At 38.1% G+C, this 27,618-nt stretch overlaps 1 pseudogene across 1 annotated transcript in view; it reads right to left on the bottom strand.

The window, feature by feature from the left end:
• The window catches only part of OFCC1 (orofacial cleft 1 candidate 1 (pseudogene)), a 506,631-nt pseudogene that overhangs the window by 208,153 nt on the left and 270,860 nt on the right, over positions 1-27,618 (bottom strand). Inside the window, exons 3-5 of the transcript NR_170155.1 lie at positions 26,159-26,219; positions 20,112-20,178; positions 19,640-19,816 (exon numbers count right to left, since the gene is read on the bottom strand). The product of NR_170155.1 is annotated as an orofacial cleft 1 candidate 1 (pseudogene) (transcript). The remainder of the gene's footprint in view (positions 1-19,639; positions 19,817-20,111; positions 20,179-26,158; positions 26,220-27,618) is intronic.

Genomic DNA, 27,618 nt, shown 5'->3' on the forward strand with positions numbered 1-27,618 from the left:
GTCCATAGGGCCAGAAAGTCTACATAAATATAAAAACATAAGTAGAAATCAGGGGACTACACTAGAATATAGAAGAATAGGGACAATGTCAAATCTAAACACACTGCACCATACTAAATTCCAAATACTATTTTTATAAAGTTGATTTACAAATATTTTGTAAATAAAAGGCAACTAAAAATACAAGAATATTTCTTAATGATAAAAAATAGTTATCCTAAACTAAGTCCTCATTGTACTAAATATCAAAACAAAGCAATGACAACAAAAAACAACCAAAAAAATAGCTTTTTGTTTTGTTTTGTTTTAAGTTCCCGGATACATGTCCAGAACATGCAGGTTTGTTACATAGATATGTGAGTGTCATTTGGTTTCCTGCACTTATCAATCACCTAGGTTTTAAGCCCCGCATGCATTAGCTATTTTTCCTGATGTTCTCCCTCCCCTCACCCCGCCCTCGACGGGCCCTGGTGTGTGATGTTCCCCTCCCTCTGTCCATATGTTCTCATTGTTAAACTCCCACTTATGAGTGAGAACATGCAGTGTTTGGTTATCTGTTTCTGCGTTAGTTTGCTGAAAATGATGGCTTCCAGTTTCATCCTTGTCCCTGCAAAGGACATGATCTCATTCCTTTTTGTGGCTGCACAGCATTCCATGATGTACATGTACATTTTCTTTATCCAGTCTCAAAAAAATTAGTACAATGAAGACTTAGTTTAAGATAACTAACTCTTAAATATCAAAATAACAACCAAAAAACAACCAAAAAAAACAGTTATCTTAAACTGTCTTCACTGTACTAAATATCAAACACAACAACACAAAACAACCAAACAAATAAAAAACCAGTCACAAAAATGCAAACTGTGACTTGGATATCCATCATGAATCTGATTATCTAACATTCTCCTAGAAATCTTGGCCAAAGCATAACTGGGTAAAAATAAGGAAAATATGTGCCAAAGTTATTGAAAAAATTGTATGTTGCATACACATTATTTGACGGCAATATGATTTCATGCCATGAAAACAAGAGATTTGACTTAAAATCTTTCGGAACAGAGGAGATGTCATTCAAATAAGAATAACATCTTGGTAAACAGCCATATAATCATAAAGAATCATTAACTTTTCTAAATACCAACCATAGCCACTTTGAAGATATAATGATAACAAATCAAAACCTTTTATAAAGCTCCAGATAACACTCAATAATTAATTAATTAATATTAGACTTTCATAGGCATCTATAGGTGGTCATCAAGATTATTAATCTTACTCAGAATCCCAAACTGAAAGGCATACAAGTAACAACATAATTAAAAACAGAAAGTCAGAGATAGAAGAAAAATTTATACCATTTTTCTTTTTTTAATTTTTCTTTCTTTTTAATTTTTGAGACAGAGTCGCATTCTGTCACCCAGGTTTGAATGCAGTGCCACCATCATAGCTCACTGCAGCCTTGAGCCTCAAACTCCTGGGCTTAAGCAATCCCCTCGCCTCAGCCACCTAAGTAGCTGGGACCACAGTCATGCACCAACATGCCCAGCTAACTTTTTTATTCTTTGTAGAGGGAGAAATCTTGCCATGTTGCCCAGGCTTGTCTCAAACTCCTGGACTCAAGTGATCCTCTCACCTCAGCCTCCCAAGGTGCTGGGATTACAGACATGCGCCACTGTGTCTGGCCGTCTTCTTCTTCTTTATAGAAAGGCTAATATGTGAAAATTGGTCAGCTGCTAACAGAATATTCAAGAACTGGTACCATGTTGGACAAATTAGCTTTCTCAACTGCTTGTTCTTCCTTCCTTCCCAAATCTTGTGGGTATTTGATATATCGGTAATTTGAAAATCTAAATTGGATAACAGTTGAAGTTTGCTAACAAGTTCTAATTAATTGAGCCATATTCTTTCTTCCCTTAAGGCCCTCCCTCACAGTAAATTATGAGGCACTTTGACTTGCAAACCACTGGAGTGCTGTGGAGTGGCTAACCGCTGCCAGGCTTTATCCCACAGTACCCCAAGGCATTCATGCATCGTGTGCTCACTGGACCTAGAATCCTCAAGGAGCTGAAGCGTGTCCCTAACTTCTAAACAGGAAGATGCTTCCAGTACATAAGTAATTGCGGTAATTCAAAGGTTAAGTATAAGTACATTGTTTTTTCTCATATTTAAAAGTTCCCCAAAAGTCAAATCAAAGTGGGGTTTCTTTCCTGCTAGTTTGAAGCTTGACAACATTACCTTACATGTAAATAAGTTAATGTGTAGAGTTTGGAAAGTTGCCTTTCAAATTATGAAGTACCTGATCTTAGACATCAATCACCCCTCCAATCTTTCCAATTTTGCCTTCATTCATTTAACAATTCATGTCCTTCATGGATCTAAGATTACTTGTATGTATGTATTGTATTTAAGGGCTCATTCCGGTAATAGTGTCTTTCATCACACTGAAACATACTTCAATATGAAACAATCAATATAATGGATTATTGGGTTTAGTTTAAACAAAATAATCTTTTTTCTAAAAAATCTTGTAACTTATAGACAAAATCTATCTCGTGAAGCAAAGGATTCAGGACTTCCCATTTTTTTTCTTTTTATATTGGGTTTTTGGTCAATTATTCTGATAAAAGCTAAGGAAAGCTCATTTTCTTGTTAATTTTTTTTAACTTAATTTTTTAAAGCAACTTGCTGAAGGTCCAAGAAAGCTTATTTCCTATTAAATTGTTTTTGACAGCAAACACAAGTGTCCAAAAGAAATTCTAAATGAAATTATTTGGAGATTAAAGACTAATCTAAATTATGCTAAAAGCATAAAATACTAAGCATAGAAAACATATGCCGAAAGCATAAAACACTAAGATCATGATAAATTTTTCTAGTAAAATTTTTCTTATACTAAAATTGCAACTATTCACTTTGGGAGGCTGAGGAGGGTGTATTACCTGATGTCAGGAGTTCAAGACCAGCCTGGCCAACATGGCGAAACTCCATCTCTACTAAAAATACAAAAATCAGCCAGGCATCATGGTGCATGCCTGTAGTCCCAGGTACCCGGGAGGCTGAGGCGAGAGAATGGCTTGAACCTGGGAGGTGGAGGCTGCAGTCAGCCGAGTTAGTGCCACTGCACTCCAGCCTGGGCGACAGAGCAAGACGCAAAAAAATAAAAAAAAAGACTCAAAAAAATAAAATAAAAATAAAAGTGGAACTATTGAATTCCAGCTAAAATGGTGGCCAAATGAAGTTTGAAATTTACATGGAATTTAATTGATATAGTGAAACTTCATATTCTAGTAGCCAAAAAAAAAGTCCTTTTGAAATTTTTATGTAATATTTAAGCAGAGGTAGGTACAATTTGGTAATCTGACCAACTGCTTAGACACTGACTGCATCATTAATGGAAAACTGAAGTCTTTCCCAGTTTTTTTTTTTAACTACGTAGCGATGTTTATATTAAGAAAGTCATTGGACCCCTAAAAAATCACCTATATGATCTCCAGTTTTACCATTCTATGACTCTAAGATTCTTAAGCAACCTTTTTACTATCATATAGATTATTGTGCTCACATTTTTATTTTAAAGGCATATAAATTTCAATGACATATAAACCCACTGGTTTAAATATATGAATCTGTCTGTCATCAATGAACTGGAATAGTAATGTCTCTGGATGTTAAAATAATTCTTACAAAGATTATTTCTTCAATGACCTATGGCAGATTTTATAAAACATTGTTTGCAAAATCATACACTGGAGGTTTCATTAACGTGGATTTGAAGCAACAATATAAAAATAACTATGCTTAAGAGTTAAGTGTCACCACTGGCATCAATTTTAGCATTAACAGAAACAGAAAAGGACAACACAAACAGATATTCTGCTAATTTCCTGGGCAAATCTGTCTGATTACCTGGGGGTAGTCAGTTCCTCTGAGAAAAAAAAAAAAAAGTTTTTTCTTATTCTGCTGACATTTCCAAAACTCATATGTTTCATTAAAATGTTCCTTCTCCAACTGGATAAACATTGTCCTGGAACTCTGCTGTTCCATTTTTTTGTTTGTTTGTTTCTGGTTTTGTTTTTGTTGTTGTTTTAAAAAAAGAGGAAAGGAAACAAATTTATTTTTATAAACTGACCAAATATTTCATACATCTAATATCTATATAAAATATTTCTGTATTTCAGTAAAAAGGATGCTTTCCTGAGGATTTATTTTTAGCCTTCCAAATCAATGAAAGAGATTCAAATCACTTAGGACCCCAATGGTTTCTGAAGACACAAATCCAGGTCAGTTCAATAAACCTAAAGAAAATGATTTTCCTATATATTTTCTTTTTCTTAATAATTGTTTAAATGTCTCAAAGCAAAAAAAAATTTTGTAAATGGTCTATCAATTTTATTTAGCACTTGTTTTCCATCTTAAGGGAAAAACAGCTATAAATGAGAACAATGTAAACAGTTTTATACAATATCACTTCTAAAATAATCTAGGCTACGTGCACTACTGGGAAAAACAATTCTCATCACATATTTGCTCAGACAATTTGAATTATGCACTTAACACAAGTGCTTATGTTGTTTTTATTACAAATTTTTGTACATGTGTATTTCTAATGGCCATAGTGGTCTCAAGGTAAATTTAGGGTCACAGTTATTACCCTAATCCAGGATTTCTCTACCACTATGGATCCCTATCCTTTATTCTAACTACCTCTCATCTCTTCCAGAAAGATCTAAGTCCTGAGATCACATATGCTCAGAACTCATTCCTCTCCACATCTCTGGAATGTCTGCCATTTTCCTTCCCTACTCTCAGCCTTCAGCATTGCTGCCTGCTGTCAAGGATTTTATGCTGACCATGATGCTCTTCAAACCACGAGCGTCTCCACATCAATCATGAAACAACTGGTGGCACCTCCAGTCCACAAAGCCACATGGACGTCATCCTGTCAGTGCCAGAGCTGCTGCTGGGGTCACCTCCATTGACTACTGTGTCTCTAACACTGATTCTTGCTGGTGCCCATTGCAGGCCATGCCACATTCTCTCCAATATCTTCCTGGTTCTGATCAAACCTTGCACTCACACCTCCGTCCATCCGATGTTCCATCAGCAATGCTAAGTGAAGGGGTTCGGTATATGTCATCTTCCAGCTCCTACCCACCACATGCTGCTCCTCCATGTTACACACAGGCTCCCTACAACTGATGGAGATCTCAGTTTTTACTTCAAGCCCCTCCCACTAACTCCCAAGAATAAATGTCTGAGGATTAGACCACAGAACAATACAATTGGCAAACATTGTACTGTAATCAAAATTACCTTTCCTCTCTGGCCCTGAGATATTGGCATGAGATCAAGCTTGTGTGCCTGACTGTCTCTTTCCTTAGAATTAGTCTCTTCCCAGGAGGCATCTTAGTCTTTCTTAAAATGAAAATGCAACAAATCAACTAGTCGAATGGTGGCGAAAGACAGCTTAGTGAAGTTTGAATTTAATATGAAATTTCATTAATATAGTACAGCTTCTTATTATAATGGCCAAAAAAGTATTTTTTTAATTTCACCCAATATTTAAAGGGAACTAATTTTAAAAAAGAAAGCATTTTTGAGGTCCAACTGCTAAGATATTGACCAAATCATTGATGTATCAGAAAACCTAAATTTCTGTCTCAGTTTTTTCATTGCAAGGCTGTGTTCATTTCAGGCCACTTTAATCCACAAATCTTCAGATATGCTCAGTCCTAAACTGAACATGGCTTAACTTAACTAAACTGAAATCCCAATTATACTATTATGGTGTATCTACACACACACACACACACACACACACACACACACACTATTTTGGCCATATATCTACAAATATTCATTGAATAAAAGAAACGCTATTTATAAAACATATAAAATAGATGTAAAAATTGTATATGAGCACATAATATATGTGTTTGAGAGTGCCAGATGAATCTGAATTGATCAACTGTAATTTTTTTTTGGTAGGGGGATGGAGTGTCTCTCTATCACTCAGGCTGGAGTACAGTCGTGCAATCTCAACTCACTGCAACCTCTGCCTCCCAGGTTCAAGCAATTCTCCTACCTCAGCCTACTGAGTAGCTGGGATTACAGGCGTGCACCACCACACCCAGCTAATTTTTGTGTTTTTAGTAGAGATGGGGTTTTGTCATGTTGGCCTGGCTGGTGTTGAACTCCTGACCTGCAGTGATCCAACCACCTCGGCCTCCCAAAGTGTTAGGATTGCAGGCTTGAGCCACTGTGCCCAGCCTGGTCAACTGTAATCTAAACACAAGAACATCTTGTTTGATTGCTCTTCACTTTATTGTGCTTTGCAAATAATGGGTTTTTCACAAATTGAAGGGTTTTGGCAACCGTGGATCAAGCAACTCTATCAATGCCATTGTTCCAACAGCATGTGTTCACTTCAAGTCTCTGTGTCACATTTTGATAATTCTCTCAATATTTCAACCTTTTTCGTTACATTGTCTGTTATGGTGATCTGTGATCGGTGATAGTTGACATTACTGTTATAATTGTCTTGCAGCACCATAAACCATGCCCATATAAGGCAGCAAGCTTAATAGATAAATGTGTGTGTTCTGACTGCTCCACTGACCAGCTATTCTCTTTATCCCCTATCTTTCTCCCTCTACTCAGGCCCCCTATTCCCTGAAACACAACCATATAGAAACTAAACCAATTAATAACCCTACATTGGCCTCTATGTGTTCAAGTGAAAGAAAGAGTCATACATCTCTCACTTTATTCAAAAGCTAGAAATGATTAAACTTAGTGAGGAAGGCATGTTGAAAGGTGAGACAGACGGAAAGCTAAGAGTCTTGCACCCACCCAACCACCACATTGCAAATGCAAAGGAAAAGCTCTTCACAGAAATTAAAAGTGCTACTCCAGTGAGCACATTAATTATAAGAAAGCAAAATAGCTTTGCTAATATGGAGAAAGTTCTAGTGGTGTGGATAGAAGATGGAATCAGCCACAATATTCCCTTAAACCAAAGCCTAATCCAGAGCAAGACCCTAACTTTCTTCAATTCTGTGAAGACTGAGAGAGGTGAGAAAACTGCAGAAGAAAAAAATGAAGCTAGCAGAGGTTGGCTCGTGAGGTTTAAAGAAAGAAGCCATTTCCATAACAGAAAAGTGCAAGGTGAAGCAGCAAGTGCTGATGCAGAAGCTACAGCAAGTTATCCAGAATATCTAGCTAAGATCATTGATGAAGGTGGCTATGCGAAACAATAGATTTTCCATGTGGATGAAATAGCCTTCTGTTGGAAGAAGATGCCATCTAGAACTTTCACAGCTAGAGAGAAGTCAGTGCCTGTCTTCAAAGCTTCAAAGAACAGTTGGACTCGCTTATTAGGGGCTAATGCAGCTGATCACCTTAAGTTGAAGCCAATACTATGTACCATTCTGAAAATCCTAGGGCCCTTAGGAATTACACTACATCTGTCTGTGCTCCATAAATGGAACAAGAAAGCCTGGATGACAGCACATCTGTTAACAGCTTGTTTTACTGAATATATTAAGCCCACTGTTGAGACCCACTGCTCAGAAAAAGAGATTTTTTTCATAATATTACTTCTCATTGACAGTGCACCTGGTCCCCAAGAGCTCCTGATGGAGAAGCACAAGGAGATGAACGTTGTTTTCATGCTTGCTAACAGAACATCCATTCTGCAGTCCATGGATAAAGGAGTAGTTTCGACTTTCAAATCTTATTATTTCAGAAATACATTTCATAAAGGTAAGCATCCCATAGGTAGAAATTCCTCTGTTGGATCTAGGTAAAGGAAATTAAAAACTTTCTAGAAAGGATTCACAATTATAGTTGTCATTAAGAACATTTGTGATTCATGGGAGGAGGTCAAAATATCAACATTAACAGGAGTTTGGAAGAAATTGATTCTGACCCCCCTGGGTAACTCTGAGGGGGTTCAAGAATTCTGTGGAGGAATTAACTGCAGATGTGGTAGAAATAGCAAGAGAACTAGAGTTAGAAGTAGAGGCTGAAACAGACAGAAGTGCTGCAATCTCCTGATAAAACTTGAATGGATAAGAAGTTGCTTTTTACAAATGATCAAATAAGGTGGTTTTTTAATATGGAGTCTTCTGGTGATGAAGCTGTGAACATTGTCTGAAATGATGACAAAGGATTTAGAATATTACATAAACTTCGCTGGCAAAGCAGCTGCAGAGTTTCAGAGGATTGACTCCAATTTTGAAAGTTCTACTGTGGGTGAAAGGCTATCCAACAGCATCGCATGCTACGGAGAAATCTTTTGTGAAAGGAAGAATAAATTGCTGTGGCAAACTTCATTGTTGTATTATTTTAAGATTTTTCCACAGCCACTCCAACTTCAGCAACCACCACTGACCAGTCAGCAGCCATCAACATCTAGCTTTGCTCCACCAGCAAAGATTATGACTCACTGAAGGCTCAGAGGATTGTTGCAATTTTTAGCAGCAAAGTATTTTTTTAATTAGGGTGCATACGTATTTTTGAACATAATGCTATTGCATACTTTATAGGCTACAATAAAGTGTAAACATAACTTTTATATGCACTGGGAAACCAATACATTTACATGACTCACTGTTTTGTGATACTCATGTTATTGTAGTGGTCTAGAACTAGATCCGCAATATCTCCAAGGTATGCCTGTAGTTGCCCTCAATGCAACTCTGCTGACATAATATATTTCATAAACATAGAAATCCTTTATGTCTTTTCTGTTTTCTTTTATATTTCTCATACCTGGCATAGTGCCTGAAAAATAGAAAATGTTCAGTAAATATGCTTTTCAACGAATGAGGAGGAAGAAATGGAGAGACACATAAAGCATTTTTGATGTTTTACATATCTAACTTCTGATCAAAATGTGGAATAAATTACTTTATGCCCAACTAATCATGCATATACCACTTCTGTTTTCATTGATGTTGTACTGACATTATTAGCAATAGGTGGCAGTCAGTAAATAATCCAAGCCATATCAACCATAGGAACACTTATCAGATTTTTGTTTGGCTTATCTGTCTTTGCTGTCTTGCATCCATTTCCCCTCCTTAATGGCATCACAATTTCCTAGTTTCATTGTGTACAGTCTCAATGGCCCAGTAACTCCAGATTCCTCTCTCCAACTACAGAAGCCAAGGAGGGCTTGACAGAATCTACTTCTCCTACCCTGTGATAGAGCCAGGAGGCAAGCAACTGGCCTATGCATGGCCAATCAAATGATCTCCCTCTAAGACTTCGAATTTTGTATAAGTGAAACAAGGATGGAAAGAACGTTTGGCATTTACTCATCACAGTGGTTAAGAGCTGTATCAAAACCAGACTGCTCCTGCTATGGGACAGTTACTGTGTTTCCAACTTCCTGTACCCGTAGGCATCTCAGTTTTTGCCCATTTCCACTATTGAATCTCAGAGCTCATGAAATCCTTCTGCTTGAATTAGTAAGAGATGGTTTCTGTTGTTTACCACCAAGGAGCTCTAAGTGGCACATGTTCACACCAGCATCATAGCAGCCAGTCTGCATCCTTGGAAGATGCTACCATGTGATGTCTAGCAAGAGTACAGAAACAACCGTAATACACAACTCCCAGGAGGAAAGAGGGAAAAGCAGGGTTGTATTCTTCAATATTGTCAATTCTGCTTTTTAAAGTTAAGTATAGCTATGCCTGGCTTAAACAATAATGTATACAATTAATCACATTTGTTTCTTTTCCACTTAGTTTTGAAATAACCTCAGTGAAAGTTAGAAATTGAAAAGGAAAAACTTCCTAAGTGCAATTTCAAAAATTCACCATGAGGCTGGGCACGGTGGCTCACGCCTGTAATCCGAGCACTTTGGGAGGCTGAGGTGGGCGGATCTTCCAAGGTGAGGAGTTCAAGATCAGCCTGGCCAACATGGTGAAACCCCGTCTCTACTAAAAATACAAAACTTAGCGAGGCATGATGGTGGGTTCCTGTAATCCCAGCTACTCAGGAGGCTGAGGCAGGAGAATCACTTGAACCCAGGAGGCAGAGGTTGCAGTGAGCTGAGATCGCACCACTGCACTCCAGCCTGCGCGACAAGAGTGAGACTCCGTCTCAAAAACAAACAAACAAAAAAAACTCACCATGAGTTTAACTGTTCCACTATTCACGTCTATAATTATTTTTCTTCCTATCTAGTATCTTCCTATAGCCCCTTCTCACATCTGTCCCACATTACATTTTACTGCCATTTAGAATTTAGCCCAGGAGTTGGAGGCCAGCCTAGGCAACATAGGCAACGTAGTGAGACTCTGTTTCTATAAAAAATACATATAAAACATAAAAAATAGAACTCAGGTATTAACTCTAATTTTAGTACCACCATATTATATATTCGGAATAGTAAAGGTTCTCTTTCCCCCCACCCAGGTTAGGAACCAAAACAAACTCTCCCCGTGAAGTTCTAAGCAGTTGTGGCTTCTCTACACATCTCTTTTCAACTATGATAATTCTGGATGTGCTGTTATCATCTAGCAAATCATCTTCAGGCAGGGTGTAGCAGGCAGTGAGCACTGAGGATGAGGTGAGACAGTTCCATCAGGGAAGCAGTGTGCACACAACAAACACCGGGTCTGGGCAAGATGGAGCAGAGGACATGCAGCCCAGCAAAGGACACAGACAGACACCTCTGAAAAGAAGGCATACATGCAGCCAAAAGGCATAGGAAAAAATCTCAATATCACTGATCATTAGAGAAACGCAAATCAAAACCACAATGAGATACCATCTCACACCAGTCAGAAAGGCTATTACTAAAAAGTCAAAAAAAAAAAAATAACAGATGCTGGCGAGTTTGTGGAGAAAAGGGAATACTTATGCACTGTTGGTGGGAGGGTAAATTAGTTCAACCACTGTGGAAAACAGTATGGCAATGCCTCTAAGAGCTAAAAGCAGAACTGCCATTTGACCCAGCAATCCCATTATTCAGTATATACACAGAAGAATATAAATCATTCTACCATAAAGACACATGCACGCGAAAATTCACTGTAGCACTACTCACAATAGCGAAGACATGGAATCAACCAAAATGCCCATCAATGACAGATTGGATAAAGAAAATGTGGTTCATATACACCATGGAATGCTATGCAGTTGTAAAAAAGAATGATGTCATGTCTTTTGCGGGAACATGGATGGAGCTGGAGGCTATTATCCATAGCAAACTAACACAGCAACAGCAAACTAAATACTGCATGTTCTCACATGTAAGTGGGAGCCAAATGGTAAGAACTTACAAACACAAAGAAGAAAACAACAGACACTGCTGTCTATTTGAGGGAGGAGGGTGGGAGGAGGGAGAGGAGCAAAAAAGGTAACTATTGGATACTGGGCTTAATACCTGGGTGATGAATTAATATCTGGGTAATGAAATAATCTGTACAACAAACTCCTGTGATGTATGTTTAGCTATGTAACAAACCTTCGCATGTACCCACAAACCTAAAATAAGTGTTAAAAAGTTGTATGACTTTTAAAAATCCTTCTAATAAATCTTTGCATTCATACTTAAAAAAAATTACATATATGCAAATTCCTCTGGGAATGTACAGCATGGGGTGTTTAACGTTTTTGCTAATTGTCTGCTTACAAACGAAAGGCCAGTGGGAACTGAAACAAAAGTCTGATGCAGAGCCTCGCGGACTTTCATCAGAAGTGGGGGAGCAAAGGCAGAGCAGGCCAGGAGGGGATACGGCAACAGTGAGAAGGAAGGACTGAGAGTTCAGTTCTGTTCTATTGTTTTCCATTTGCACCTTGCAAAAATGACTGTTACTGGCCAGGCATGGTGGCTCACGTCTGTTACTCCTGGCCCCAAGCAATCTGCCTGGAGCCAGGAGTTTGAGGCCAGCCTGGCCAACATGGGGAAACCCCATCTCTACTGAAAATACAAAAATTAGCCAGGTGTAGTGGCATTCACTTGTAGTCCCAGCTACTTTGGAGGCTGAGGCATGAGAATTGCTTGAACCCACGGGGTGGAGGCTGCAGTGAGCTGAGATAGCGCCACCGTACTCTAGCCTGGCCAACAGAGGAAGCTAAACTCTGTCTCAAAAAAAAAAAAAAAAATGGCCGATACCAACTTACAGTGTCAGCTCTGCTGCCCATTGTCATTTTCCCTGGAAAACGTTTAGATGAATAAGTTTCTAAGGACGCCTTAACACTGGAGTCTCCAGGTGGGATCTGAGGGTATACAAAGCCCTTCCCAATGATCTCGAAATCACAGCAGTTGGTAGTTGCCTATTTTGGCTATTCCTGAAGATCAGTGTGTCCTTACTTTAATTACTTTTCTACTATACTAAGAGACTCAATCTATCATAAACTTGAAGTCTTTTTTATAAAGATTTGGTTCTAGAAAATCCCTCTCCTAGACATTTCCTTCATAATTTAAATTGCTATTTGGCAAATAATTTTTCATTTCCTTGAGGGAATTTGAATAAAGTCATGTTGGAATTCTGCCATTACATACAATGCATTTCTTTAAAAAGCATCTTAAAGGAAGAAATGTATTGATATTTACTTTCCAGATGATAATTTGTGCTAATTCTAATATTATTGTGGGGAAAATATGTAACTACTCTATTTTCTCTAAGTAACCACATTGGCAGTTAATATAAATGTTCTTTTAAAAAACTGTATTAACAAGAAACACCGTGTTCTACGGTATCTAGTAGTTTCTACGTGCACGTATTTCAAATATTCTTCTTTATTCACAGACCATAAAATTGCATGTATCATTTGCAACTGAATTTTTTCAGAAGTCCCCTCAAAGGGAATAGGGAAAGGTAAAAATGCATTGAATAATTTTTTTAAGTTGGCTTTATTCCAGAATACAGAGAATATAACTCCTGCCTCTGTCAGTAACTGGCTGGATTTGTAAGGATGATAAATCATTCTTGGATTTTTCATCCAAAGTTCCTTCTCTTTGGTTTCTTCCTCTCTGCTTTACTTTTGGCTTATAAATTTGGATCCTCCCATCTTCCAAAACCAAACTGACGATCACTTGTGAAAATAACTACCTTCATGCCTAGTCTTTCCTAACACACAGGGACTAAATCTATAATAGTATGCCTATACAGCACTTGAAATGGGGCTAACTCACATTGAGGTTTGCTGTCAGTGTAATGATTCACACTGTGTTTTAAAGATTTTGTACAAAAAAGGGAAAATATTTCAGTTTTACATTGGTTTTAAGTTGAAATGATAATATTTTAGAGATATTGGCTTAAATAAAATATAGAATTAGAAATATAGAATATAGAAAAAATTAGAATTAATTGAGCTTTTTAAAAAATCTTGTTACAGTAGCTATCAGAAATTGTATTTATTTTTTTTTTTTACTTTAGAGATGGGGTCTTGCTCTGTAGCTTAGGCTGGAGTGCAGTGACATGATCATAGCTCACTGCAGCCTCTGACTTCCTGGGCTTAAGTGATCCTCCCACCTCATCCTACTGAGTAGCTGGAATTACAGGTACATGCCACCACCCCTGACTAATTTTTTTTTTTTTTTTTTTGTAGAGATGGGGTCTCACTTTGTTGCCCAGGCTGATCTCAAACTTCTGGCTTCAAGTGATCCTCCAGCCTCAGCTTCCTAAAGGGAGAAAATTTTAAATTATGTATGTGGCTCTCTTTACTTTCTCTTAGATAGTACTTGCCTGTAACATGTACTTAACATCCTAAGACACAGATGACATCCTTCTTATGACCTCACTTTTCTCTCTCTCCAACACCTGATGTATGATAAGTGTAATTATTAACCATGCCTCATTTTATTGAGTTTCAAACAGCTAAGTCATCAAGTAGTACTCCACTTCTAAACTGAATATCAATCTAAAAACTTAAAAAATTGAGATTTTTCACAAAGGCTTCCTAGTCTTTTTTTTGCCCCCAGGGAATAAGAATTCTTATTGAAGAAGTCTGAATACCTCTGCTAAATATGAATTTATAACGAAGGGCTGCTCCATCCTCCATTTGGGCTCAAGGACACATTTTTACCTCCAGGATCTAACTGTGAAATACTCTAGCTCAATAACAAGACCATTTCTGTCAAGGGAACCAAAGATTCCCTTGCTCTGCCCCTGGACAGGTGATATTTGCCTGCCCCTGGACTGATGACACCAGAAGTTGATCTTCAGAGTCAAGAGTTCACTGAGAGGCCAAATGGATGCCAAGGAACTCTAACCCTCCCTTCCTTTTCCTGTGCATTCATCTTCTTTCCTGCATCTTCTCTGCTAATCTATGGATTTGCTGACCTTGCATGTCTGGCCAAGCTCTAGAGTTTCCTTTCTGATTACATCATGCAACCACACTAGATGTCATGCTGACATTCCTTCACAATGCCCTGTCCTTTTATCAGGTGACATCACCCCTAACCAAAAGAGAGACATACAGCAGAGGAGTAAAATGCATATACCGCAGAGCCAAACAAGCCCTCCTTTAAATCTCTCATCACACCATGCATTGTATGCTTTACCTTAGTCAAGCTACAACCTTGATTTCCTCATCTATAGGATGAGGATAATAATAAAATGTACTTTGAGTAGGGCCTGCTAGTTGACCCCAATATACATTCTCTTCTTTAATAATAGAAACCAGCCGGGTGCGGTGGCTCACACCTATAATCCCAGCACTTTGGGAGGCCAAGGCGGGGTAATCACTTGAGGTCAGGAGTTCGAGACCAGCCTGGCCAACATGGAGAAACCCCATCTCTACTAAAAATACAAAAATTAGCCAGGTGAGGTGGTAGGCACCTGTAATCCCAGCTACTTGGGAGGCTGAGGCAGGAGAACCACTTGAACCCAGGAGGCAGAGGTTGCAGTGAGCCGAGATCATGCCACTGCACACCAGCCTGGGCTACAGAGCAAAATTCCATCTCAAATAATAATAATAATAATAATAGAAACCTTCCACCTTCACCTTGGAACTTGGCTACCAGCTAAGGCCTTCATTTCCCAGCCTCTCTTGCAGCTCCATGTGGCAAAAGGCATACAAACAGAAATGGCATATCTAACTCTCTCTCTGGCAAAAGGCATAGAAACAGAAATGGCATATCTAACTACCTGTATGTGGCCTTTTTCTTTTCTGCAAGTGCCTGAAATATAGAAGTGATATCTAGTCATCTTGGACCATGCAGATGAGAACAACAGCTTAGGGATTATAAAATAATAAAATGGAAAGAAGACAAGAAATAACCAAAATCAGAGCTGAACTGAGGGAGACTGAGACACAAGAAACCATTCAAAAGATCAACGAATCCAGGAGCTGGTTTTTTGAAAACATCAATAAAATAGCTAGAATGCTAGCTAGGCTAATAAAGAATAAAAGAGAGAAAATCCAAATAAACACAATCCAAAACAAGAAGGATATTACCACAGACCCCACAGAAATACAAACAACCATCAGAGAATGTTATGAACACCCCTATGCATATAAACTAGAAAATCTAGAAGAAATAGATAAATTCCTGGACTCCGAAGACTGAACCAGCAAGAAATTAAATCCCTGACCAGACCAATAAAGAGCTCTGAAATTCAATCAGTTATAAATAGCCTACCAACCAAGAAAAGCCCAGGACCAGATGGATTCACAACTGAGTTCTACCAGATGTACAAAGAAGAGCTGGTACCATTATTCCACCATTCCTACTGAAGGTACTTCAAAAAAAAAAAAAAAAAAGAGGAAGAGGGAATCCTCCCCTAACTCATTCTGTGAGTCCAGCATCATTCTGCTACTAAAACCTGGCAGAAGCACAACAACAACAAAAAAACTTTAGGCCCATATTCTTGATGAACATAGATGCAAAAATCCCCAGCAAAATATTGGAGAATTGAATCTAGCAGCACATCAAAAACCTTATCCAACACAATCAGGTAGGCTTTATACCTGGGATGCAAGGTTGGTTCAACATATACAAATCAAAACATGTGACTCATCACATAAACAGAACTAAAGACAAAAGCTATATGATTATCTCAATAGATGAAAAAAAGGCTTTTAGTAAAATTCAACACGCCTTCATGTTAAAAACTCTCAATAAATTAGGTGTTGAAGGAATATACCTCAAAATAATAAGAGCCATCTATGACTAACCTACAGCCAACATCATACCAAGGGCAAAAGCTGGAAGCATTCCCTTTGAAAACTGGAACAAGTTAAGGATGCCCTCTCTCACCACTCCTATTCAACATAGTATTGGAAGTCCTGACCAGAGCAAACAGGCAAGAGAAAGAAATAAAGGGCATCCAAATAGGAAGAGAGGAAGTCAAACTATCCCTGTCTACAGATGACATGATCCTATAACTATAAAACTCCATGGTCTCAGCCCAAAAGCTCCTTAAACTGGTAAAACAACTTCAGCAAAGTCTCAGGATACAAAATCAATGTGCAAAAATCACTAGTACCCCTATATACCAATAACAGTCAAAGCTGAGAGCAGAATCAGGAATGCAATCCCACTCACAATTGCCACACATGCACACAAATAAAATACTTAGAAATACCAGCTAACCAGAGAAGTGAAAGATCTCTGCAAGGAGGGCTATAAGACACTACTCAAAGAAATCAGAGATGACACAAACAAATGGAAAAACATTCCATGCTCATGAATAGGAAGAGTCAATATCTTTAAAATGGTCATACTGCCCAAAGCAATTTATAGATTCAATGCTATTCCTACTAAACTACCAATGACATTCTTCACAGAACTAGAAAAAACTATTTTAAAATTCATACGTTACCAAAGAAGAGCCTGAATAGCCAAAGCAATCTTAAGCAAAAAGAACAAAGCTGGAGGCATCACGCTACACAACTTCAAACTATATTACAGGGCTACAATAACCAAAACAGCATGGTACTGGTACAAAAACAGACACATAGACAAATGGAACAGAATACAAACTCCAGAAATAAGGCCACACACCTAAAACTATCTGATCTTTGACAAAATTGACAAAAACAAGCAAAGGGGAAAGGATTTCCTATTTAATAAATGGTGCTGGGATAACTGGCTAGCCATACGCAGAAGACTGAAGCTGGACCCCTTTCTTACACCATATACAAAAATCAACTCAAGATGGATTAAAAACTTAGATGTAAAACCCCAAACTACAAAAACCCTGGAAGACAACCTAGGCAGTATCATTCTGAACACAGGCACAGGCAAAGATTTAATTACAAAGATGCCAAAAGCGATTGCAACAAAAGTAAAACTTGACAAATGAGATCTAATTAAAGAATTTTTGGACAGCAAAAGAACCTATCAGCAGAGTAAACAGACAACCTACAGAATGGGAGAAAAGTTTTGCAGACTATACATCTAACAAAGGTCTAATATTCAGCATCTATAAGGAACTTAAACAAATTTACAAGAGTAAAACAAACAACCCTGTTAAAAAGTGGAGAAAGGACATGAACAGACACTTCTCAAAAAAGAATATCATGCGGCCAACAATCATATGAAAAAAGCTCAACATAACTGATTATTAGAGAAATGCAAATCAAAACCACAGAGAGATACCATCTCACGCCAGTCAGAATGGTTATTACTAAAAAATAAAAAAATAACAGATGCTGGTGAAGTTGTGGAGAAAAAGGAATACTTACACACAGTTGGTAGAAGTGTAAATTAGTTTAACCATTGCAGAAGACAGTGTGGCGATTTCTCAAAGACCTAAAATCAGAAATACTATTTGACCCAGCAATCCCTTTAGGGGGTACATACCCAAAGGAATATAAATAAACTGTTCTACCATAAAGACACATCCACGCATATGCTCATTGCAGCACTATTCACAATAGCAAAGACATGGAATCAACCTAAATGCCCATCAATGGTAGACTGCATAAAACAAATGTGGTAGATATACACCATGGAATACTATGTAGCCAAAATAAAATGAGATCATGTCCTTTACAAAAACAGGGATGGAGTTGGAGGCCACTATCCTTAGCAAACTAATGCAGGAATAGAAAACCAAATACCACATGTTCTCACTTATAAGTGGGAGCTAAATGATGAGAACACATGGACACATAAAGGGGAACAACATACACTGGGGCCTATTGGAAGGTGGAAGGTGGGAGGAGGGAAAGGATCAGGAAAATAACTAATGGGTACTAGGCTTAATACCTGGGTGATGAAATAATCGGTACAACAAACCCCCATGACACAAGTTTATCTATATAACGAACCTGAATATGTACCCCTGAACTTAAAAGTACATTTTTAAAAAAAGGAAAGACACCAAAATTTGTCAAAGCCACTGTTACTGGGGCTTTTAGTGCATTAACTGAATGCATACCCTACAATGCCACCCTAAAGAAGTATGAAATTAAATGAGGTAATGTACATAAAGTGCTTAGTATCTGATAACATATAATAAGCACTAAAGAAAGAATGGCAGCTGTTTATTATTATTATTATTGATAGCCCAAATCCCACCACCTAGCTACAGACGTACAGAAACAAACACACACACACACACACAAACACATGCATGCACACAGGCAAGGAGAAGAAAACCTAAGCAAAATCCATCGATGTGAACATGTATGATATTACGTAGAAGGTAGATATTAAATACTTAGAGGCTGGCAGAATTTCTCCTGAGCCTTAGGAATTAAAAATCACAACATGCATGCTCTGTACACCATGATAATCTACTGGGATCTGCACTGCCTGTTTCATACAGGTGGAAATCCTGATGAGGCTGCTAAGTGGGACCAGCCGAGAACACATCTGTGCCAGCTCATGCTTCATTACTTCAGACAGTTCCCTCTCTAAAAGCTATCTGGTTATTAAATTCGGGTATCTTTTGTCTTGTTCAATGATGATGATAAGAGCAAAGACAGCAACTTTTAATGACTTCTTTGTAGGTGCAAGCAATCTTCCCTTCTTGGCAGCAAATTGGTCATAGCTTAGAAGAGCTGCCTTCTCGAGAGTGGGAGGAACCAGACATCATATATTGACTTGATGCAAAGTGTGTACTCCCCTTGCTTAGGTAGCACCCTTTATATAGTTAACTATCGGAACTATCCCTAACTCAGAAAATCAAGGAAACTATTTCTTATGGTAAATTTCTGCAGAGAAATTATAAATACTAAGGGATGCTTCATGCAGTTATTCTTAAAACTCTTGCACAGGTGTCTAAACCTATAGAGAAATTATATCTTCCTCTAAAGGAGGGAAGCATTAGGGTCTAAGCCCCAAAATGGGGTGCCAGCATAGTCTACAAGTATATTGGCAGGATGGCATCCTATAAATGGGAGCGTCAACATTTAATCCCCTATCTGCACCAGAGTCGAGGGTGTGACGCCCTGACAGACTGAACCCCTTCCATCTCAGCATCCGGAGTTGGGGTGGATTCAGTGCTCAGCAACCTTCACAGATGAGATTATGGCCTGCATACCAATGGCAAAGCAGATCCTTAAGTGTGTCCTGCCGAGTTACATCCAGAGCCTCCCCAGGAAACCTGTGTAGACACGCCAGACTGGAATGCCTGATGCCAGCTCTAGGATGCCCAGGTTAGATGAGGAGGACAGCAACTGTCACTGAGTGTGAAGATAATCAGGACTGAAGTCACACCTTTTGGTTCTGCAGAGGCTGGCAGCCTGAATTTTTGTTGGTGAGCTGCAAGGGTGCGATCCGGCATGTCGTGTCTAATAACTTTCTTTTCTGCAGTCTGACATGCTGAGAGATCTGGACTGCTCATGTTAAAAGCTGGATTTCCAGTGCCTTCTGTAGCTTCTCTATCTTCTTTAACTAGAGCAAAACAAGGAGGTCAGAAGATCATACGATAACAAAATATATTCCAATGACAAGCAGAAAATTCCTTCCAGTAATTCTTGCGTGGAAAGACTCAAGTGTATCGTCCTCAAATGTCACCAAAACAGAATTAGGTTAAAATTAACTCTTAAAAAAAAGAATAAATGATTAAAATAATTACAAATTGCACCCTGACAAGCAAGAGCAAAATTTCGCCCACAGCCATTTGTCTGTAATTAGTTAATTAATCCTTACACAAATTATGAGCAATAACTCATCAAGCAAGGCTCACCCATCAGAAATTCAGCCGACTTGGATTTCTTCTGCTTAGTTTGCTTCAGAGCCTTCTGCTGAAACTTCTGGAGGGAAATTGTTAAATGAATAAATTAGCTAAAGAATGAAGATCATCATTTATGATCCACAACTAACACAGTATTTTAAATATGGGATGGCATTGAAATGTCATTTAATTTACATCTCTCCTAAAGGGGTCAAACACTAATTGAACAACAGAAGTGGAAGAATTAAATAAAATAGGATAAGAAAAGTTAATACAAATGCCAAATGAAGGTCACATTAAAATACTTTGTTTTTATCATTTTTAATTAATGCAAAGAGCCCTCAACAAATTAAGAATGCTGAAAAACTTGCACTGAGAAACTTACACAGCACAATTGGCATTCATTCATTTGGACTGTGCTACAATGCCATTTTCTTTGGTAGAACAGAATTATCTTGCAGGAAACCTGTATGTGCTAGGTATTTGTTCTCGCTTGCATCCATATTTGTTTTAAACTGCTAGATTTCAGTATGTGAACTAATTTTTTATTTGAATCAAATCAGGGATATATAGGATCCAATATTCTTAAATTTCAGTAACAGGCAAAACAATGTAAAGTGCCAGTTGCCAAGTGAGTCATACTCTATGGTACTTACAAAGATTTCATAAGATGCCCCGTCACTGAAAACCAGAAGTCATTATGTGACTAGAAAACCCATTAATATTAGAATACATAATAAATGGTCAAAAATGAAAATGAATAGCCAGAAATATTATTAGAGTTCTCAGACTCCTACAAGTTCCAAATGAATACTTGGTAACTGTCAGACTAAATTTTAAAATATATCTGTGATAGAAACATGTAAACTCAGATTGAATTAAAACTCAGGTTAACAATAAGCAATAAGACCAAGAAAGACAAAGACAGTAGAAAACAGCAAACCTCAGTTCTGTTTCTAAGATAGTGCCATGTTTGACAACTCATTTAATAGTTTCTGACGACTAAATTCAAAATTACAAAATGCCTTGTCTATTTTTAAATCCTATGTCATTGCTTGTAATGGGTTTGCTAAAGCTTCTAATATTCCCATTTTTTGTTAAAATGTTTACAATAAACCTGAATTTTTCAAAAATTTTTTATTATTTTTATCACATTATAAAGCAATTAAATCATAACATCATAAGTTGCATAAATATCATAATATCATAAAGCCATGTTGGAGATTTACTAACAAATATGCCACGCAGCCAACCCAAATACAGGGCCTAGTTTTCCGAGAATCCCTCTGAAACAAAAGTAAATATTTAGTGTAAAATAGGTTAAAAAGTTATTTCAGGCTGGGAGCGGTGGCTCACGCCTCTAATCCCAGCACTTTGGTAGGCCGAGGCAAGCGGATCTCGAGACCATCCTGGCTAACACAGTGAAACCCCGTCTCTACTAAAAATACAAAAACAAAATTAGCCGGGTGTAGTGGCGGACGCCTGTAGTCCCAGCTACTCCGGAGGCTGAGGCAGGAGAATGGCGTGAACCCGGCAGGCGGAGCTTGCAGTGAGCCGAGATCGCGCCACTGCACTCCAGCCTGGGCGACAGAGCGAGACTCCGTCTCAAAAAAAGAAAAAAAAGATAGGCCAGGCGCGGTGGCTCACGCCTGTAATCCCAGCACTTTGGGAGGTTGAGGCGAGTGGATCACGAGGTCAGGAGATTGAGACCATCCTGGCTAGCACGGTGAAACCCCGTCTCTATTAAAAATACAAAAAAAAAAAAAAATTAGCCAGGCTTGGTGGCGGCCGCCTGTAGTCCCAGCTACTCAGGAGGCTGAGGCGGGAGAATGGCGTGAACCCGGGAGGCGGAGCTTGCAGTGAGCCGAGATCGTGCCACTGCACTCCAGCCTGGGTAACAGAGCGAGACTCCGTTTCAAACAAAACAAAAATAAATAGATAAAATAAATTAGACTACATTCATAAAAAACTTGCTAAACTTTAAAAAGGGTAGTTCACCACTGCACTAAATGTTCCTACATTTTATTAAGAAAGAGGTTGAAGTCTGATTGTTTTTTTCACAGCCTTCAGCTGAGGTAACAGCAGATATTAGTTTTCTTGACATGGTTCAGTAATTTTGGCACTTCACTCCTTTCAGATCGAGTTAAACATGCTTTTAAATAGATGGATGTGGCCTATTAATAGACCTCATTTCCTTACTAAGGACTTCAAATGAAATTATGGACTTGCTCTCTAATGTTAAAAAGGTCTCAAACATATTTTCACAAGTTCACATATTCAAAAGGAAAGCAATGTCTGATTGTACACACCAGAGATGAATTCTTTGAGAGGATCACCAAGCGGTGGTTTGTATTTTGTGACCTCTTCACTACTAACATATGTTCAAGAGGAAATTAGGAGTGATTTCTGACTTCTCTCTTTTGCCAATTTCCTCACTGTTTTCTCTCCTTTACACATGGGCACCTTTAAGTGGCGTAAATTGCATTTTCCCCACCCCCTTCTCAATTCAGTCTCTCTTTCCTGATGAGATTTTTATCTCTTTAGCTCATGCAAAATAATCCTTCACTCATATTTTACATCAATTCATTCATTACCAGTAGTTAACTTAGTGTATTTATGTAAATGTTAGCATTTTAATAAGTTCACATTAACTTACTAAATTCCTATACTGAATGTCAAAAATTAAATTAAAAAAAACAAAATTTCATCACCAGCATCCTCCTGCTTCTCACTGATATCTGTTCAGTTTTGAAGATCAGCAAAATCTCTAGAAATCTTAACTATTAATAAATCTGCTATGGATAGGCTTTGTGGCTTTTGCCTTCGTGTTTCTATTTAGCAGCTATAACGCAAAGTAACTCTCTAAAGGGACACACTTTTAAAGCATTTTTTTATTGTGATAAGAACAGATGACATGAGATCTACCCTCTTAACACAAGTTTCATCACTGCAGTGTTAACTATCAGCACGATGCTGGACCACAGATCCCTAGAACTTACTCATCTTGAATAACTGAAAGGTAACATATTTATATGTGTGTTTAAATAGTGCTAAATCAGTTCCTTTTAATAATTTTAGTAAGGCTACCCTATTAAATATATTCAGTAATGTGGAAGAAACAATACTTTGTGATTTGAACAGAAAAAAAAATCCCTGAAAACCTGAAATTTTTAAGAACTGACAGTTTCCGATAATATTTTCCTTTTCATTAAAAAGCAACAAATATCTTTTGATGCGGACACTCTCAACTTGAAAGGAAATCTACGATAGAGTAGCAAACATGAACAACAACAAACTCATTTATAACCAGTGACAACCAAAACCTATGAAGTTTTTAAAAGAATGTGATTGTTGTCAGAAGGAATCGGGTCCTGCGGTGCAGTTGTTCAGCTCTGGTTGCACTCAAAGCCATGGCTGAGGGACGCAGGGAGCACTCCTCCAAGGCTGGTGGGCACAGACCAGCAAGAAAGTGAATTCTGCATACTGTACGGATCATCGCTCAGTTCAGGGCAGTCAGATTGCATCTGGGATCAACCAATTGTGCTTCATGAAACCGTCACCCCTCATTTGTGTCTGGCTGTTTTCTTCTGTCCGGCTGTAAACAAGGCCAGCTCTTTTTCTTCCTACCCTTATCTGCAGGGTCAGACCAAGTCAGTAGCCTCAAAGCTCAAGTGAAAAGTTCCTTCTTGCAGACAACAGTTCCTGTACACACTGGGGAGTCACAAAGAGAAGCAACTTTGGAATGACAGAGTTAGGGTCTCTTTTTGGAAACGCATACCTTAGATTCCTACACATCCCGGCATGGCATGGCTCTTCCATGAAATGAAATTAGGTGTTCCTAATATGAACAACTGTTTTTTTCGGCAGACCAGCTCAGCGATTCATCTTGCTGGGGAGGCGGGGGTGCTAGTGATTGTGTTTTGTTGTTTCACTGCTCTAGGGCTTTGCTTGGATCAGCCAAAAAAGACGTGGATAGAAATACTGTCAATCTGGTCCCACTCCAGGAACCTAATCATGCCTGAATCGCTCGGAGGAGTGTAATGATGGCAACATTACAGGAACAGGTATGTTGGATTCCGTTCTCATCCACTTCGGCCACAGTATCGCCTTTACAATAAAGCAAAATACGATTTTGAAGGCACATCATCTCAATCATCAAAGGGAGGGGGTGTCACTGAAGCCCTTTTCGTTGGCAAGTGGCACAAAGGTAATGTTTAGTATTCACTACATTGAATTCTCCTAGCCAGCTGGTGTGTCCCTGTTAAGACTTTCATTTATGCAGCTTGAGCTGGAACCTTTTTTGTTCTCCCAGTCTATTACTTTGTCGATTCAAGGGATAACAGCCAAAGTGAAACAGCTTGCAATTTGCACCTGTCTGCTCTAAGCATTCCACGTTAGATTGTGTGGAGAGCAAACCCTTCACTGCTAATGAGAGTGAGACTGGGTAGGGCTGAATGCAGTTCTGTTGGGGGACTTATAGAATATCTTAGTGTTTTTTATTTTTTATTTTTTTATTTTTTGTAACTGATTGGATGAGGACCTCCCCATTTTCATGTTTAGAGTCACTGGAGGAAGAGAAAAATACAATTCAAACAAAAACAAAAACAAAAACAAAAACAAAATACCAACACATAAAGTTGTGTACTCTTTAAAGAAAATTTTAAGTGTCATGTAACTAAGAATTGAATTAATATTTAGCCTGAGTTGCCTCAGATAAGAAAGCAAATATTTAAATGCTAAATTATTTCCATGTGAGTGTAAACATAAAATATCTACAGAGACCTTTACTTTGTAGCATTGGCAAGGAAAGAAAGCAAATTTAAAAAATTTTTAGGCATATTCCAGAAGTAGGACTAGTTTTGGTAATAATGTCAAGGGCCTAAAAATAAACTTGAGATTTCCGCTTAGATTGCCTTTGAAAATTTAAGCTGCTGAATCCGAAACAAAAATTCAAGGGTGTCACTTCAAAATCATACCTAGATAGACATAAACATCTTTATCCAACTCATCATCATGTGCATCACAGAATGAATTCTCCACAATTGCACAAATGTCAGCACCTATGATTCTCCCAAATCTTTTCCCAGTTCTCTGCATTCCCGCAGCTTTGATTCTTTCAAGGAATTATATCAGTGGATTACCATCTATTTTGAAAGAATTAAACTCGTTGAGATGAAAGAGTTTTAATCATGGCTTATGACATTCCCCCCCAAACCTGGGGATATTAGAAAAATCAAAATAATAATGCTTGAATTATTAGGCAAAATATTCTCAAAGATGATCCAAAATTTAGTAAACTAAAAAAAAAAATAGCCTAATAATCTATTTATCAAAGGATCTGTGCTACATTTGGATTCTAAACATTCCCCGCACTGGCACTTCCTGTTGAAATAATAACTTATATGATGATGGGTTAAGTGAAGCCGAAGTGGTCGCAAATGTGTCCTACTAGTAATTAATATATTTGAATCTAGTTGTTGGCCCACATCTGGCCTGACAGATAACGTTCCAGCTTGTCCAGCGACGACCCTTTCAGCACAGCGTTAGGAGTCCTGCCAGCCTTTGCAGAGTCTGGTCAGGTCAAAGGGTTGAGCCATGTGTAATTCAGAACAGAGGAGGTCCCACGGTCACTCCACAAAAACAATTACACTACTTATTTCACATTAGCCCTTGCCCAAAATTCACAAGCCTCACAGTTTCAGTGCAGCCAATCTGATTCTGCCCCTAGGCGATAAGCCACATGAAAATATGTGGTGCTGTGTTTATAAATCTAATCAAAAATAGAAACAGCGGACAGGCACCATGAGGTCCTACTATGGATCATGGGAATCCTTGGGAATTCTGAGGCACTTTTGTTTCTCTTCCGTAGACTCTCTTTTGCTACGATGTTCCCTGCTACACTCGTTAATCATCCTCTTTACTCGTGAGTGCTACAAAGGAGGCTACATTTCTACTCACTTCTATACTTTCCATCCATGGAAAACGAAAAGTCAAGCTTGAAAGCCTTGCTTTTAAAGGAAAAAAAATTAAGGAGGGGCCTACTGTGACATCGATCTTACCTCTCTCTCCATGTTCTCAGCTTCTTGCCCTTGGCAATGCACAGATTTCAATCCAGTCTCTCTAAAAAAGAAAAAGAATATTTAAAAACCAAGGTAAATTGACCCAATCATGAGCTATGTTAAGCAATGTGGGATTGGACAGCTACAGTGCTACTTAATGGTTCTGAAAAAATCTAAGTATAAAGTCAACAGGATATAAGCTGGTGTCCTACTTTTATTGTTGTTGCTCATTTCTTAAGCGAGATTCCTAATAAACTGAGGGTCAGTCAATATTCTCAACATGTTTTACAAAGGCAATCTCTAGGAAAACTTCAGATTTGATTTAGATGCTTAAATATCCTATTTTATGCCCCAAAAGTGACAAATTCAGATTGCATTGAAGTTACAATGACAACTTGCTGCTGCATACCTTAGGTACCTGTACTGTTTATCATTTAAAAGTTATGATCCAGTTGTGCAACAGTCGTAAGTAGATAATATCTGATAAAGTCAATGATAAATATGTGTATTGAGGGGCTAAGCAGATTACACCCTGAGACCGTTATCCAGCAAAGATATAAAATATAAAAATTATAATGAAAGGAAATGTGGTTCTAACACTCATAAAACTCCTTAAAGTCATACAATAAATTATTAAGGTCAATCTGCAAATGATTACATTTGATATTATTTTAATTGACAGAAATACTACACCAGAATACAGTCTGGGCCCAGATAATTAGAATAAATGGAATTTTTTTAATGAATGATGATGATGATCTCAGCATTTATTAAACTATTGTAAACATTCACCAGAATAATCTTTTAGGCCATATATGGTGGCTCACACTTGTAATCCTAGTACTTTGGGAGGCCAAGGTGGGTGGATTGCTTGAGCTTAGGAGTTTGAGACCAGCCTGGGCAATATAGTGAGACACCCATCTCTACAAAAAATATAAAAATTAGCCAGGCATGGTGGCACATGCCTGGAGTCCCAGCTTGGGAGGCTGAGGTGGGAGGCTGGCTTGAGCCTGTGAGACAGAGGTTGTGGTGAGGTGATATGGTGCCACTGCATTCCAGCCTGGGTGACAGAGCCAGACCCTGTCTCAAAAAAAAAAAAAAAAAAAAAATTCTTTTAAATTTTAAACTCGAAGTTTGCCCTTTTGAGATGGTTATCAGTATTTGACAGTAAAATAAAGCCCATCATGTATGAATGATACATGTGACACTTTTCTTATTCAGAGCTATTATTGTTTTCAAAAATTACTTTTTCAAAGTCAAGAGCTATCTATTATTGTTTTCAAAAATTATATACGCTTTGTGTATATGAGCTTTTGAATAGTATCAATGTTGAAAAATGAAAGATTTTAGTCCTTCTAGTGCTAATTTAAAAACTCCTACTGTTTTATGTAAAAGTAACATAAGTTTTAAAGATTATATTGAATTACTTCCTAAAATAAGTGAAAGACATGTAAAATTAT

Source organism: Homo sapiens, chromosome 6, assembly GCF_000001405.40.
Source record: "Homo sapiens chromosome 6, GRCh38.p14 Primary Assembly".
Classification (NCBI taxonomy): Eukaryota; Metazoa; Chordata; class Mammalia; order Primates; family Hominidae; genus Homo; species Homo sapiens.